The sequence below is a fragment of the Homo sapiens genome, chromosome 7, assembly GCF_000001405.40.
Source record: "Homo sapiens chromosome 7, GRCh38.p14 Primary Assembly".
In the NCBI taxonomy this organism is placed as follows: domain Eukaryota; kingdom Metazoa; phylum Chordata; class Mammalia; order Primates; family Hominidae; genus Homo; species Homo sapiens.
The window spans coordinates 66,006,138-66,023,651 of NC_000007.14; the positions used below are offsets into that span (position 1 = coordinate 66,006,138).

The following is a 17,514-nucleotide window of genomic DNA, read 5'->3' on the forward strand; positions in this document are numbered from 1 at the left end:
TTGTCTAAGATTATTAATTTGGTTTGCCAATTTTGGATCTATTTGGGTCTGAGAATTGCACAATTTTGAGGAATTCTTTTGCCAATTATTTACATATTTAGCAGTTTGAATAGAAGAGTGTAAAGCAATTCCAGCAGCCGCAGCAGTAGCTGTGACTGCAATAAGACCCATAATCACATAATTAAAGTAAAAATGAATCTTTTGGATCTAGTTAGAACTTTTTTTAATACTTTTGTTAAAATACGGACAGATGGGGAAGACTCTCATGGTCGGTCTATGGACACAGGGATCCACATGCCCTCTCTTGCCCTCACTAGCAGAATATGGTGCTGCCAATTAAAAGTTGAATCAATGCAAGTAAACAATCTACAATTTTCACAGGTTATAGTTTGGGAATCTGGTTTAATAACTGTGTTTTTTACAACTAGTATATAAGGGGGTTTTACACAACTTTGTAAAGGAATTGTTAAATTGGAATTTAGGTTGATAGTATAATATGGCTTACGACTTTTTGGTTTTATAGCTTGATTTCCAGACCAAATTTTAACGTGGTGCAAAGCCACAGTAAGTTTTTATAATTTTGGATGTTTAGGACTAGTAACAGGACGAACTAACTTTGGTTGAGGTGATGAAATTCTCTTTTTACCCCATTTTTATGGATAGGGTGATTTAAACCTTTATAAAACCTGGTCTTGCCTTTTAGTTAAATCACTAATAGAGGCTGGATGAATGGGCCAGATGGATGGGGCCTGTGAACATGAGTGAGTCTGGCCTGTACAATTATAATATAATTGGCCTCGAGGGGCCCAGTTTATAATAGTTTCCAATTTATTGTTTTGTAATACCACAGCAGTATCAGTCACACATTTTTTCCAAACTAAGACTTTTGGGCCTTTTGATTTTTTGGGAATTTCTTGGGGCAAGGCTTCCCCTTACGCCTAAATTTTAATGATCTTTGATAAGAAGAGTCCTGTAAATTATTTATCTGTGGCTCCAGTGACATTTCACTTACCATGTGATAAGTAAATCTACTGGTGGCACTGACAGTAGGTACTTCTACCCACCAAATTTGGGTTGTAGGCGTTAAGCATCCTGGTGCCTTTTCTAGGCAAATAGGGGGATAATAATACCCAATGGAAATATTTATTATTATTTCTTTTTTTTTTTTTGATTGGGCACGGCAACGATCATCTGTGGGGCCTGGTACCCACGCACTATTATTAACATATTCTTTAATAGGATTATTTATCCATGTGACTGCCCAAATTAAGGACAGGAAAGGCACATAGGCCCAGTAAGTATAATTAGCTGCAGCTGTTTCTGCAGACATGAGGAGACTTACCACCGTTGATACAATTATCAAAGCTGTAACCAGTATATTTTCTAGAGTTTGTATTACCCTTGTTTTTTTAGGCTTTTTTTAGCTAACTGTGTCAGCTTCTTTAGTGGACCCCAGGTCGGCAGCTCCGCTTTTTTGGTGGATGACAGCTTTATCTGTTTTTTTGATATTACCATTTTGTTTACTTGGGGAGTCGATGATGCTTGATTGTGGGTTTTTTGTTTTTGCAGAGGCGCTTTTTTTGCATCTTCGATGGGTTTATTGTAGAACTTTAAATGTCTAGTGGGTATTCAAACAGGAAGCTGATTTTTTTCTGGTGAAACACAAGTAGTCCCAACTACGGAAGGCAGAGGACAAGGGGGGTGAGGCAGGAGGATCACTTTAGCCTAGGAGTTGGTGGCTGAAGTGAGCTATGATCGCACCACTGCACTCCAGATTGGGTGACAGAGCCACATCCTATCTCTAAAACTAAAAAATTAAAACATACAAAATCATCTTGTTTGGTCATCTCTTAGAAATGGATGAATTCCTTTTCGAGATGAAGATTTAATGTTTCCCAGATTTCACCTATTATCTTAGTAAACAAAACGGGGACTTAAAGAGGCAGGAGTTAATAAACAGAAATACAGGTACAGTGCCTCTGCCCTGAAAGCACTTAACCCAGCTGGAGAAAAAAGACAAATACATGCAAATTTTCACAACAAAAGATCTGAGTGACAGATATAGTGATCATCTGCCTCAAAGAAAGACACAGCTCATTGCTGAAAGGGTGGCCGAACAGTGTGGACCCTGAAAGACTACAGAACTTCAGAGGAGATCAAATGACTGCAGTGACCACCCCTGTGCAGGCGACAACTTCTACATTTCTCTCTCAATTTGACCCTGGAGCTGCAGATCCATCTTTCCAATCAGCTCAGTAAGTATTTACTGCGTTAAAGAGCTTCTGGAGTGAAAACATGAAGAAGCCATGACTCCTGCAGCCATGTGTTGGGGGAAGCAGAACACTTACCCACTCTCCCTGAGCCTCAATTTCCTCATCTGTGAAATAGGAATGATAACAGTACTTACTATCTTATGAGAGGATTAAGAGGGATGAAAATCTTCCCAGAGGCTGCAGCTACCATTTATTGCTTGCTTTCCATGTGCAAGTACATTGAATCCTCAGATTTCACTGACACTGAGATAGCAAATAACTTGTCCACAGTTGCAAAGCTAGTAAATGGCAGAAAAGCTCCTGTTCTTGGCCATCTGCTTCTACTGTACATGTGATAATGGATCGAAAGTGTCATAATGCCATCTGTCCCACGATAGTTTCTCCATAAATGGCAGTCATTATTAGGGCAGTTCTAGTCAATTTCTACTGCTTGTAGAATGTTTACTCCCCCAAATGTTTACTCTAGACTCAAGAAAGGAGACTCCACAGAGATGACCCTTGCACTAGACCCTGAAGGCTTTTCAACACAAAAGGGATGGAAGGGACAGACAGCCAGGGCAGGAACAACACAAAGACATGCCCAGAGGAAAGAAAGCTCCCGGAGTTTCAGGAAACAGCTAGAGAGGGGTAGGACATGGGGTGAAAAAGTCATCTGGGACAAGATCGAAAGGGCCCTGACTATCAAGAGGCTGGGTGTGACTTGGTCAATATAGGAGAACAACCAAGGAAGAGGGGCATGTTCTGGCTGGTGCTGGCAGCGATTCTGGAAGACCCAAGAAAATGGAGGCAGACAGTGAGGAACGCACTGTAACACCCTCTGGGTGAGCAAGAGTAAGGTTATGAAGTTGGCCAGCAGCGGCAGGCATGCCAGTAAGTGTCTAAACAGGTGAAATGCTTCCCGTTACCCTCAGGTAAAGTCAACAGGACCTGTGTAGATTGTGTCGGGGGAGGAGGAGTGAAGGAACAGATAGTTAAGGTTAGGTTGTTTAGAAAAAAATACATTATTTAGGCCGGGCACGGTGGCTTACACCTGTAATGCTAGCACTTTGGGAGGAGGTCAGGAGATCGAGACTATCCTGGCTAACACGGTGAAACCCCGTCTCTACCAAAAATACAAAAACTTAGCCAGGTGTGGTGGTGGATGCCTGTAGTCCCAGCTACTCGGGAGGCTGGGGTAGGAGAATTGTATGAACCTGGGAGGTGGAGCTTGCAGTGAGCCGAGATTGCACCACTGCACTTCAGCCTGGGTGACAGAGCGAGATTCCGTCTCAAAAAAAAAAAATTATTTAAAATGAAATTTGAGTTTGCAGTACCTTTATACCTCTGAAGACGTTTCTGTCAAAAGTGTGTCTTAAAAAAAAAAAGCGTGTCTAGTTTGAGGCCTAATTTGGTCTAGAACTAAAGAAAAAAACCAGCACTAGATTTAATTGCAAGGAGTTATATGAAACTGTGGAGTGGATATTATGCTCCAAAAACCAACTGTGGAGTGAGTGAAGACCAGGACAGAACACCATAAAGTGCCTCCATTTAAGAGGCCAGGAGAAGCCAGGCCTCCCCTGGGATTATAGGCACATGCCACCATGCCCAGCCAATTTTTATATTTTTTTAGTAGAGACGGGGTTTCACCATGTTGGCCAGAATGGTCTCGATCTCCTGACCTCGTGATCCACCTGCCATGGCCTCCCAAAGTGCTGGGGTTACAGGCATGAGCCACCGCGCCCGGGGTTAACCAAACCTCTTCTTTTTTTTTGAGATGGAGTCTTGCTCTGTTGCCCAGAGTGGAGTGCAGTGGCGTGATCTCGGCCCACTGCAACCTCCGCCTCCGAGGTTCAAGCAATTCTTCTGCCTCAGCCTCCTGAGTAGCTGGGACTACAGGGGTGTGCCACCATGCCTGGCTAAGTTTTTGTATTTTTAGTAGAGACAGGGTTTCACCGTGTTAGCCAGGATGGTCTTGCTCTCCTGACATTGTGATCCACCCACCCTGGCCTCCCAAAGTGCTGGGATTACAGGCGTGAGCCACCGCACCCGGCCACCTCTTTCATTGTCTCTACTTTCTCCCCTTGCTTCTCAACTCCCTGCACCCTAGCTCTTGCCCAAGCGATCACCAAAAGTGTTCTTCCTTCAAGGGCCTGGTGCCTCCACATGGACAAATCCAGCGGTTGCTCCTCGGTCCTACTCCATCTGACACTGCTGATCATTCCCTCCTTAAAACTGCCTGCCCTCGGGGCTTCCATGACATCTTCTCTTTCAATTCTTTTCTGATATTTCCGACTCTCCCTTCTTCATCTCCTTCTGGATTTTCTCTTCTCCCACGAGGCTCTGGCACTCTCATGGTGCTGACTTTCATCCTCTGACCCTCCTACTGACGTCCTCACCCAGGCCTCACAATGTCAGCTACCACTACAAGCTATAACCAAGAAGTCCATGCTTTCTGGAGACAGAGAGAGGAGAAGGACCAGAGAGCAGCAGACCAGAGGTGGGGATGGGCAGTGGGGTGGGTGAGGTGGGGGAAGTGTGCGTGGTTAATGGGTATGAAAAATAGAAAGAATGAATAAGGTCTAGTATTTGATAATCCAACAGGGTTACTATGGTCAGCAATAATTTCATTATACATTTAAAAATAACTACAAAAGTATAACTGGATATGTTTATAAGACAAAGGATAAATGCTTGAGGTGATGGCCACCCCATTTACCCTACTGTGATTATTACACATTGTATGCCTGTATTGTAATATCCCATATACTGGCCAGGCGCAGTGGCTCACGCCTATAATCCCAGCACTTTGGGAGGCTGAGGCGGGCGGATCACTAGGTCAGGAGATCGAGACCATCCTGGCTAACATGGTGAAACCCTGTCTCTACTAAAAATACAAAAAAATTATCTGGGCGTGGTGGTGGGTGCCTGCAGTCCCAGCTACTCGGGAATTTGAGGCAGGAGAATGGCTTGAACCTGGGAGAGAGAGGTTGCAATGAGCTGAGATACGCACCACTGCACTCCAGCCTGGGCAACAGAGCAAGACTCCGTCTCAAAATAAAAAAAGGAATATCCCATATACCCAAAATATATACACCTATCATGTACTCAGAAAAATTTAAAAATTAAAAAACAGCCATGTCCTCATGCCATGTGACCTGAGCTTCACACATTTGTGGCCGACTGCCTGCTAGATTTCTCCACCTTGACATCTCTGACATGCCATGAACTTAACACGCCCCAGAGTGACCCTACAGCCTTCCCAACAAACCAGCTCTTCCCATTGTACTTCTCTTCTCGGTGAAGTGCCAGGCACCCAGGCCAGAAATCTGAGGGTCCTCCTTGACTCCTCCTTCACCCACTGCACATATTCAGTCACCAAGTATCAATGATTACACTTCTTTCAGGACATCTAGGCTAGGCGTGGTGACTCATGCCTGTAATCCCAGCACTTTGGGAGGCAGAGGCAGGCGGATCATTTGAGGTCAGGAATTTGAGACCAGCCTGGCCAACATGGTGAAACCCTGTCTCCACTAAAAATATAAAAATTAGCCGGGCATAGTGGTGGGCGCCTGTAGTCCTAGCTACTCGGAAGGCTAAAGCAAGAGAATCTTTTGAACGCGGGAAGAGGAGATTGCAGCGAGCGAGATCGCGCCACTGCACTCCAGCTTGGGCAACAGAGCAAGACTCCAACTCAAAAAAAAAAAAAAAAAATGCTGGGCTTGGTGGCTCACGCCTGTAATCCCAGCACTTTGGGAGGCCAAGGCGGGCGGATCATGAGGTCAGGAGATCGAGACCATCCTGGCTAACACGGTGAAACCCCGTCTCTACTAAAAAAATACAAAAAATTAGCCAGGCATGGTGGCGGGCACCTGTAGTCCCACCTACTCGGGAGGCAGAGGCAGGAGAATGGCATGAACCCGGGAGGTGGAGCTTGCAGTGAGCCAAGATCGTGCCACTGCACTCCAGCACTTCAGCCTGGGCGATAGAGCAAGACTCCGTCTCAAAAAAAAAAAAAAAAAAAAAAAAAAGATACCTATCCCTTCCTCACCATTTCTACAGCCCACTCCAACCTCTTGGTTAGAGGATGATGGCCTTCATCTTCAGTGGGCTGCCACTTTTTCAATCTATCTGCACTCATACAAATAAAGTCTCTTTTAAAAGACAGAAACATAGTCATCTCATTATCCTGCTTGTAATCCTCCCACTGTCCTCACAGGTTGTAGTCTGAACTTGAATTTCCTTAGTTCAGCCCCCAGAACCCTCTGAAATCTGGTCTTTGTCAGTCTCTATAGCTTTGTATGGCCCTACTTTGCACTCATATCCCAATTGACCCAAACTGCAAACACCCTACAGAAAAGCACGAGGCTACTTCCTGATCTCAGGCCCTACTTGGCACATGGTGTTTGCTGACACTTCAGTGTCTCTCCACCGTGTCCCTACCATAGCACCTCCACTGTGTTCATCTTTGTGTCCCCAACAACCAAGACAAAGCTGCCATGAGGTAAACGTAATCTGAAGCATACATGAGAGAAAGAGCTAGGGAAGCCCCGACTTGCAAAAGTTCATGGGAGAGAAAGGGGAAAACTCTGGGGAGATACGGGGCAGGACTCCACTCTCTGAAAGCAGCCAGGGTACCCGACTGCAGACACCAGGAAACCTACAACTCATCCGTCGACTCTGAGCTTTGCTGGTCCCAGAGGAACATATTCCAAATACGTTGTCAACTCCCAAGAATAATCTGTGCCCAGAAGAGTCCTTTTTAGGGATGCAAAGTTATTTATGACCCTATCTAAGCTGGGTCTTGAAGGCAAGTCCTCTTGCTATATTCCCGGCAGACCTAATCCCAACCCTAACACAGAGCTGTATACTTTAGGGAGGAGATGTCAGTATGAGAGCTGGGGCTACAAGCCAGGCTGCAGTTCTTTGGGAACTAGGTGCCTGAAGCAAAAACTAAAATGATTAAAGAGCCAAATGCTTCAGAGGAAGTAACATGCTGTAGAAAAAAATGACACAGAGCCAGGTGCGCGGTGGCTCACGTCTGTAATCCCAGCACTTTGGGAGGCCAAGGCGGGTGGATTCTTTGAGGTCAGGAGTTCAGGACTAGCCTGTCCAACATGGTGAAACTCCATTTCTACTAAAAAAAAAAAAAATTAGCCGGGCATGATGGCAGGCGCATGTAATCCCAGCTACTCAGGAGGCTGAGACAGGAGAATCACTTGAACTGGGGAGGCGGAGGTTGCAGTGAACCAAGATCACGCCATTGCACTCCAGCCTGGGCAACAAGAGCGAAACTCCACCTCGAAAAAAAGAAAAAATGACACAGGACATCGTATCACAGTGACTTGCAGTTGAGTCCCAACACTACTGCTTTGCTGAATAAGGTTATAAAGTCAAACAAAACATGGTTCCTACCCTACCCGCAAGGTCTCTCTGGTAGTGGAGGTATTTAAGCAAGTTAATAGAGCCCCAGCTTGTACTAACAGAATCAGACCCATTAAGGGCTGTTATCTTGAATCTCCTCTCCCTGAGAGAATGGCAGAGAAAAATTCTGTTGTGAATATTCAAACACCAGGATTAAAGACGCTTCAGGAGTTCCTGTTGTAAGTGTAATGTCTTAAGCTGCAACTAGCACACAATGGTCCAGGTCTTGATGGCTTTGGTCAAGCAGCTCCCTGGGTCACGGGACACTGAGGCTGTTTGAACTGCAAGGGCTGCAAGTTCCCAGAGAAGGAGCCAGGCCCAGCCACAGTGAAGAAGCCTGCCTCTCCCTCTACTGGCTGTTGGACAACAACACTGCCTGTAGCGTTTGCTCTTGGCAGTCATGGAACCAAGTAATTAATGAAAGGGTTGAGGTTAAAAGGTTTAGAAAGCCTTTTAAAAAGATTTTTGGCCAGGCGTGGTGGCTCACCCCTGTAATCCCAGCACTTTGGGAGGCTGAGGCAGGCGGATCATGAGGTCAGGAGATCGAGACCATCCTGGCTAACACAGTGAAACCCCATCTCTACTAAAAATACAAAAAATTAGCTGGGCATGGTAGCAGGTGCCTGTAGTCCCAGCTACTCGGGAGGCTGAGGCAGGAGAATGGTGTGAACCCGGGAGGCAGAGCTTGCAGTGAACCGAGATCGCGCCACTGCACTCCAGCCTGGGCGACACAGCGAGACTCCGTCTCAAAAAAAAAAAAAGAAAAAGATTTTTTAAAATCCTCGATTTCAAGATCACAAGTGGAAAAAAGGAGTTGAAATTAATCCTTCTTGAATATTACAGTCTGCTTTAAATTTATATAGATTATGGCCAATCATGAATCAGCTTGCAAGACAATGCCTATTTATGTGTAGGTTTTTTGAACAGTCTTTGTCCATATTTATAGTGGAAAAGATGTTGGGCTTAGGAAGCAATACATCAGCCCAGACAAAGAGCTGAAAAGAGGCCTTAGAAATCAACTGTTAGGACTTCTGCTATAGGACAAGATGGAGAAAGCCCACGAAAGCCTTTCTCTCTGCATAGATTACAATGAGAAATTTTGAGACAGCTGGGCGCAGTGGCTCACACCTGTAATCCCAGCACTTTGGGAGGCTGAGGCGGCGGATCACCTGAGGTCAGGAGTTCAAGACAAGCCTGGCCAACATGGAGAAACCCCATCTCTACTAAAAATACAGAAATTAGCGCTGGTGGCATGCACCTGTAATCCCAGCTACTCAGGAGGCTGAGGTGGGAGAATCACTTGAACCCAGGAGGCAGTGGTTGCAGTGAGCCGAGACTGTGCCAATGCCCTCCAGCCTGGGCAACAGAGCGAGACTCCGTCTCAAAAAAAAAAAAAGAAAAAAAAGAAGAAGAAATCTCCAGACAAAATACACAAAAATATACCTGAGGACTCTGAAAAGCAAATTAAAAGCAGGTGGCCTGGGAGGGAAACAAAACCTGAGAACCATTTGGGGTGGAGGATGAATCTGAGTTTCTTGGGGCTTTTTTCCCTCTTTTCTCTCAGGGCCTCAATCCTGGTGCAGCTGTGGTGGCCTCTATAGAAAGCTCCAACTCCAGGAGAAACCCAATCTTTCTGGCCAGGGAACTGAGAAAGGCTGGAGACCTGGGAGGAGCTCACAACTCAAGGGCAGCCCCCAACACAGGGACCAGCAGCAGGCATAGCCCGGAAGGGAGCCCTTGCTCTCCAAAGTGCCCAAGAGTCATTTTTTCCTTTTCCACTTTCCCTGCTCTGCTCCAAGGACAGCTCTAGTAACAACCACACACAGGCAGGCAGGTAAACCTTTGAGAGACACTGGGAACAACCACACCTAGGCAGGCAGGTAAACCTTTGAGAGACATTCAGAACAACCACAAACAGACGGGCAGGCAAACCTTTGAGAGAAACTCAGAACTTGTGGCTAGAGGACCAAAAAAGGGATCTCATGTGAACCAGAGTACGAGCGGGGGAGTCCCAGAGAGGAGAGCTAGAGAAGGGGACTCCTCCAAACTTGAATATCAATCAACACAAATCCTAGGTTCACCTGAGCTATTTATGTGCAGAACAGCACCAAAACAGCAAGCATGGAACAGACCCAGCACAGCAAAGACCCCGAGTGAGAAGGGAGCAAGTTCCACCGCCAGTCCAGTCCCATATGCAAAGACTCAGAGTGGCAGGGCAAAGGTTTCAAAAACCAAATGACACTGAAATCCTTGCCCCGACTTGAAGTCCGAACCTAATTGGATTGACAGTCTCCTAAAACACAAACCAGAGGCTTTTAACAGGACCCAGAGTCCAAACAATATAATACTCAAATGCCCAGGATACAATCTACAATTACCTCGACCACGAAAATATGACTCATTCTCCAGGGAAAAGGTAATCAACAGATGCCAAGCCCATGATGACCCAGATGTTAAAATTATCAAGATTCTGCTACTATAACAACCGGTGGTAAAAGTAAACATTCCTGAAATGAATGGAACAATACTAGTTCTCAGGAAAGAACAGAAGTTATAACAAATAACCAAATGGAAACTTTAGAACTGAAAAATACCTGAAATGAAAAATTCACTGGTAGGCTTGATAACGGAAGATGCCAGAACAATCTGTGTGTATACAGACAGATCAACAGAAATTATCCCGTTAAGACTTTGAGGCTGCAGTGAGCCTGATCGCGCCACCGCACTTCAGCTTGGGCAACAGAGTGAAACCCTGTCTCTATTTAAAAAGAGACAGAAAAAAAGAGAGAAATTATTCCATTTGAAATATAATTTTTTTTAAAAAAAGGAACAGAACCACAGAAACCTGTACAGCAGCATCAGAGGTCTACCAATCACCCAGGAGTGATTGGGTGATTGGAGTCTCTCTCTGTCACCCAGGCTGGAGGGCAGTGACACAGTCTCAGCTCACTGTGTTTTTGGAATTCAAGAAAAGGAGGAGAAAGAGTTTGGGACAGAAAAATATTTCAAGAATAGTTAAAAACTTCACAAATTTAGTAAGAAACATAAATTTACATAATCAAGAAGCTCAGTAAAGATAAATTGGGGAAAAAATGCTGAAATATATCATTATCAAATTATTGCAGACCAAAGACTTGAACAATCTTTTTTCAAATTTAATTTTATTTAAAAAAATTTTCCTTAGGCTAGTCAAGTGAAGCAGTGGGAGTAGAGAGGGAATACAAAAATCTTAAAAGCAGCCAGAGGAAAATGACACATTAGGGTTAGGGTGATAGCAGATTTTTAAAAACTTTTTTTCAATTAATTATTATTATTATTATTATTTTCTTTTTTTGAGATAGAGTCTCACTCTGTCTCCCAGGCTGGAGTGCAGTAGCACGATCTCCACTCACTGCAAGCTCTGCCTCCCGGGTTCATGCCATTCTCCTGCCTCAGCCTCCCAAGTAGCTGGGACTACAGGCACCCGCTACCACACCCGGCTAATTTTTTGTATTTTTAGTAGAGATGGGGTTTAATCGTGTTAGCCAGGATTGTCTCGATCTCCTGACCTTGTGATCCGCCCTCCTCAGCCTCCCAAAGTGCTGGGATTACAGGCATAAGCCACCACGACCGGCCCCCATCTCTATTTTTTAAAAAATAATTAATTGGGCCAGGCGCGGTGGCTCATGTCTGTAACCCCAGCACTTTGGGAGGTCGAAGCGGGTGGATCATGAGGTCAGGAAATCAAGACCATCCTGGCTAACACGGTGAAACCCATCTCTACTAAAAATACAAAAAATTAGCTGGGCGTGGTGGCGGGAGCCTGTAGTCCCAGCTACTCAGGAGGCTGAGGCAGGAGAATGGCGTGAACCTGGGAGGTGGAGCTTGCAGCGAGCAGAGATTGCGCCACAGCACTCCAGCCTGGGTGACAGAGCGAGACTCTGTCTTAAAAAAAAAAGAGATGGGGTCTTGCTATGTTGCCCAGGCTGGTCTCAAACTCTTGGCCCCAAGTGATCCTCCTGCTTTGGTCTCCCAAAGTGTTGAGATTACAGGCATGAGCCACCACACCTGGCCTGATTACAGATTTCTAATCAGAAACTGTGACAGTCAGAAGTCACTGAAATGACATCTTTAAAGTTCTGAAGGAAAAGACCAATCAACCCAGTGAAATTATCCTTCAGGAATGAAAGAAACTAATTACATTCTTGGCTGGCGCTGTGGCTCACACCTGTAATCCCAGCACTTTGGGAGGCCGAGGCAGGCGGATCACAAGGTCAGGAGATCGAGACCATCCTGGCTAACACGGTGAAATCCGGTCTCTACTAAAAATACAAAAAATTAGCCAGGTGTGGCGGCGGGCGCCTGTAGTCCCAGCCACCTGGGAGACTGAGGCAGCAGAATGGCGTGAACCCAGGAGGCGGAGCTTGCAGTGAACCGAGATTGCACCACTGTATTCCAGCCTGGGCGACAGAGAGTGAAAGAAATGATGACATCTTGGGTAGACATAAAAGACTATTTTTGTTATCTTAAGTTCTTTAAAATATGTAAGAATATAGAAAGTAAATAGGCCAGGCACGGTGGCTCACGCCTGTAATCCCAGCACTTTGGGACGCAGAGGTGGGCAGATCACGAGGTCAGCAGATCGAGACCATCCTGGCAAACATGGTGAAACCCTGTCTCTACTAAAAATATAAAAATTAGCTTGGCGTGGTGGCACATGCCTGTAATCCCAGCTACTCAGGAGGCTGAGGCAGGAGAATAGCTGGAACCAGGGAGTCCGAGGTTGCAGTGAGTCAAGATCGCGCCACTGCACTCCAGCCTGGTGACAGAGTGAGACTCTGTCTCAAAAAAAGAAAAAAAAAAGAATATAGAAAGTAAATGTTAAAACACTACTAACAGTACCTAGATTTTATGTTTCAATGTATGTAGATTATATGTTATAAATACAACAACTATAATGTAAAGAGACTTATATACATTTACTAACTGGTCAAATATTAACTCTGGACTATAAATGGTCAGGCATGCATATTATTATCCTTACAGTAACTACTAAAAATAAAAATAAACAAAAAAGATACAGCCAAAAGACTACAAATCTTTTTAGATTTATAGATACAGAAAAAGCAAGTGACAAGATTCAACACCCAATCTCAGCAATTTGAACTTCGTAAACCTGTTGAAGGACATCCATAGAAAACCTACACTAACATCATACTTAATGGTAAAGGACTGACTGTTTCCCTTGAGATCAGGGACAAGATGAGGATGTCTGCTCTCACCACTCCTACTCAACATCGTCCTGTAGGCCCCAGCTGGGGCAATGAAATAAGAAAAAGAAAAGACATACAGATGAGAAAGAAATAAAACTCTATTTGCAGACAACATGACTGTCAGCATAGAAAATCCTAAAGAATAAACTAAAAAAGTTCCTGGAACTAATAAGTGTATTTAGCAAGGCTGGAGGGCATAAGATCAATATAAATTCAGCTATATTTCTATATCAGCAATCAAGAACTGGAAATGAGCACCATTTATAATAGCACCCAAAATTATAAAATAGGTATAAATTTTAAAAAATTTGTGCAGAACCTGTACGCTACACTGTTTTCATGGACTGGAAGGCTCACTATTGTTGTTGTTTTTTTTAACCTTTGACTGATCTTAAATTATTCATATTGTTGGCCGGGCGCAGTGGCTTACGCCTATAATCCCAGCACTTTGGGAGGCCGAGGCGGGCAGATCACGAGGTCAGGAGATCGAGACCATCCTGGCTAACACAGTGAAACCCCATCTCTACTAAAAATACAAAAAATTAGCCGGGCGTGGTGGCAGGCACCTGTAGTCCCAGCTACTCAGGAGGCTGAGGCAGGAGAATGGCATGAACCCAGGAGGTGGAGCGTGCAGTGAGCCGAGATCGCACCACTGCACTCCAGCCTAGGCGACAGAGACTCTGTCTCAAAAATAAATAAATAAATAAATAAATAAATAAATAAATAAATAAAATTATTCATATTGTCAAGATGTCAATTCTCTGCCAAAACTGACCTATAGATATAACACAATCCCAATCAGAATCTCAGTAGGATTTGTTGCAGGTATCAACAAGTCAATTCAAAAATGTTACATAGGCCGGGCACGATGGCTCATGCCTGTAATCCTAGCACTTTGAGAGGTCGAGGCAGGGGGATCACCTGAGGTCAGGAGTTCAAGACCAGCCTGGCCAACACGGCGAAACCCCATCTCTACTAAAAATACAAAAATTGGCCGGGTGCAGTGGCTCACGCCTGTAATCCCAGCACTTTTGGAGGCTGAGGCCGGCAGATCACCTGAGGTCAGGAGTTTGAGACCACCCTGACCAACACGGTGAAATGCCATCTCTACTAAAATTACAAAAATTATCTGGGCGTGGTGGCACGTGCCTGTAATCCCAGCTACTCAGGAGGCTGAGGCAGGAGAATCGCTTGAATCCGGGAGGCAGAGGTTGCAGTGAGCAGAGATCACACCACCGTACTCCAGCCTAGGTGACAGAGCGAGACTCCATCTCAAAACAACAATAACAACAACAATAGAAATTGTGAAAGATGACACAAACAAATGGAAGCACATCCATTGAAGACTTCCTAATATTAAGATGTCAATACTACCTAAAGTGATTGATATATTATTCAATGCAATCCCTATCAAAATCTCAATGGTAGGCCGGGCACGGTGGCTCACACCTGTAATCCCAGCACTTTGGGAGGCCAAGGTAGATGGATCACGAGGTCAGGAATTCGAGACCAGCCCGGACAACATAGTGAAACCCCATCTCTACTAAAAATAAAAAAATTAGCCATGGTGGCACATGAACTCGGGAAGTAGAGGTTGCAGTGAGCCAAGATCACGCCATTATACTACAGCCTAGGTGACAGAGCGAGATTCTGTCTCAAAAAAAAAAAAAAAAAAAAAAAAACCTCATTGGCATTTTTCTCAGAAATAGGGAAATCCATCCTAAAATTCATATGAAATCCAAAGGGACCCCAAGTAGCTAAAACAATTTTGAAAAAGAAAAATAAAGTCTGAGTAGTCATACTTCCCAATTTCAAAACTTCTTGTAAAGCTATAGCAATCAAAATAGTGTAGTATTAGCAGAGAAACAGATATACAGACCAACAGAGTAGAGAGCCCAGAAAGAAAACACTTGCATATATGGTCAAATAATTTTGATAAGGAGACTAAGACCATTCAAGAGAGATGGATCATCTTTTCAGCAAATGGTACTAGAAAAACTGGATATTCACATGCAAAGGAAAGAAGGTGGATCCTTACCTTATGCTATATACAAAAATTAACTGAAAATGGATAAATATTTGCAGTGATAAGTATGCTAATTACCTTAATTTGAGCATTAAATATTATATACATATCAAAATATGACTTTATATGCCATAAATATGCACAATTATGTCAATTAAATCTTTTAATTTAAAATTCTTTTTAATTTTTAAATAGAGGATCAAATACTTAAACATAAGACTAAAACAATAAACTTCTTAGAAGAAAGCATACAGAAAACGCTTCATGACACCGAAATTTTGTTTTTTGTTTTTTTTTTGAGACAGAGTCTCACTCTGTTGTCCAGGCTGGAGTGCAATGGCATGATCTTGGCTCATCACAACCTCCACCTCCTGGGTTCAAGAGATTCTCCTGCCTCAGCCTCCTGAGTAGCTGGGACTACAGGCGTGCGCCACCACACCCAGCTAATTTTTGTATTTTTAGTAGAGACAGGGTCTCGCCATGTTGGCCAGGCTGGTCTCGAACTTGAGAACTCAGGTGATCCGCTCACCTCGGCCTCCCAAAGTGCTGGGATTACAGGCATGAGCCACCGTGCCTAGCCATGACACTGAATTTGATAATAGTTTATTGGATTTCTGACATCAAATGCACAAGTAACAAAAGAAAAGCGACAAATTGGACTTCATTTAAAAACTTTGTGCACCACAGGACTCTTACCAACAGAGTAAAAAGACAACCCACAGAATGGGAGAAAATATTTGCAAACCATATATCTACAAAAGGATTAATATCCAGAATATATATAAAATTCCTAAAACTGAACCAAAAAAACCTCATTCGAATTTGGAAAAAGGACCAGGTGTGGTGGCTCACATCTGTAATCCCTTTGAAAGGCTAAGGTGGGTGGATCAGTTGAGCCTAGGAATTTGAGGCCAGCCCAGGGAATGTGGAGAAACCCTGTCTGTACAAAAAATACAAAAATTAAGTGGGCATGGTGGTGGCATGCCTGTAGTCCCAGCTACTGAGGAGGCTCACCTGAGCCTGGGAAGGTCAAGGCTGCAGTGAGCCAAGATAGCACTATTGTACTTCAACCTGGGCATCAGAGTGGGACCCTGTCTCAAAAACAAAAAGAGGGAAAATGACTGGAATAGATATTCTCCAAAGAAGACATACAAATGGCTAATAAGCATGTAAAACCATGCTCAGCATCACTTATCATTACGGAAATGCAAAATAAAACCACAATAAGAGACTACTTCACACTTCATAGATGCTAGAGGGAGGGAGGAAAGAAGGAAGGAAATAAATGAGAAAAGTTGGCAGGGATGTGGAGAAATTGGAACTCTAGTGTACTGTTGTTAGGACTGTAAAATGGTGTAGCCAACAGAAAAAAATAGTATGGTAGTTCCGCAAAAAAGTTAAAAACAAAAATATTATATGATGTATCAATTTCACTTCTGTGTACCCAAAGAACTGAAAGCAGGGTCTCACAGAGATATCTGAGCCCCCATGCTCATAGCAGCATTATTCACCATAGCCAAAAGGTGGAAGGAAGTATCCATCAATGGATGTTAGAAAATCAAACTGTGGGCCAGGCGCAGTGGCTCACACCTGTAATTCCAACACTTTGGGAGGCCGACACGGATGGATCACTTGAGGTCGGGAGCTCAAAAATAAGCCTGACCATCATGGTGAAACCCTGTCTCTACTGAAAAAATACAAAACAATTAGCCAGGCTTGGTGGCGAGTACCTGTAATCCCAGCTACTTGGAAGGCTGAGGCAGGAGAATCGCTTGAACCCGAGAGGCAGAGATGGCAGTGAGTCGAGACTGCTCCACTGCACTCCAGTCTGGGCAGCAGAGCGAGACTCCATCTCAAAAAAAAAAAAAGAAAGAAAGAAAAACAAAATGTGGTTTACATATAAAATGGAATATTACTCAGCCATACAAAGGAAGGAAGTTCTCATACATTATTTTTTGAGATGGAATTTTGGTCTTGTTGCCCAGGCTGCAGTGCAATGGTGCAATCTCAGCTTACTGCAACCTCCGCCTCCTGGGTTCAAGTGATTCTCCTGCCTCAGCCTTCCAAGTAGCTGGGATTACAGGCATGCGCCACCACGCCTGGCTTATTTTGTATTTTTAGTAGAGACAGGGTTTCTCCATGTTGGTCAGGCTGGTCTCGAACTCCCAACCTCAGATGATCTGCCCACCTCAGCCTCCCAAAGTGCTGGGATTACAGGCATGAGCCACCACGCCCGGGCAAAGACATTATGCTAAATGATATAAGGACAAATACTGTGCGATCCCATTTACATGCAGTACTAAGTATAGTCAAATTCATGAAGACAGAAAATAGAATGGTCGTTGCCAGGGGCTAGGAGGAGGGGAGAATGGGTAATTTATTGATTACTGGGCACAGAGTTTCAGTTTTGCAAGATAAAATGTTCTGTGGATAGATGGCAATGATTGTACAATGTGAATTTACTTAATGCCACTGAACTGCACACTTCAATTGTTAAAATAATTTTAAAAATTAAACATTCAGATATGACTTAAAAAAAAGAAAAAAACACCGTATGGTTCCA

General features: G+C 44.0%; 1 long non-coding RNA gene across 3 annotated transcripts in view; it reads right to left on the reverse strand.

Annotated features, from left to right (window-relative positions):
• LOC105375336 (uncharacterized) overlaps window positions 1–17,514 on the reverse strand; it is a 52,145-nt gene that overhangs the window by 13,868 nt on the left and 20,763 nt on the right. The window lies entirely within an intron of this gene.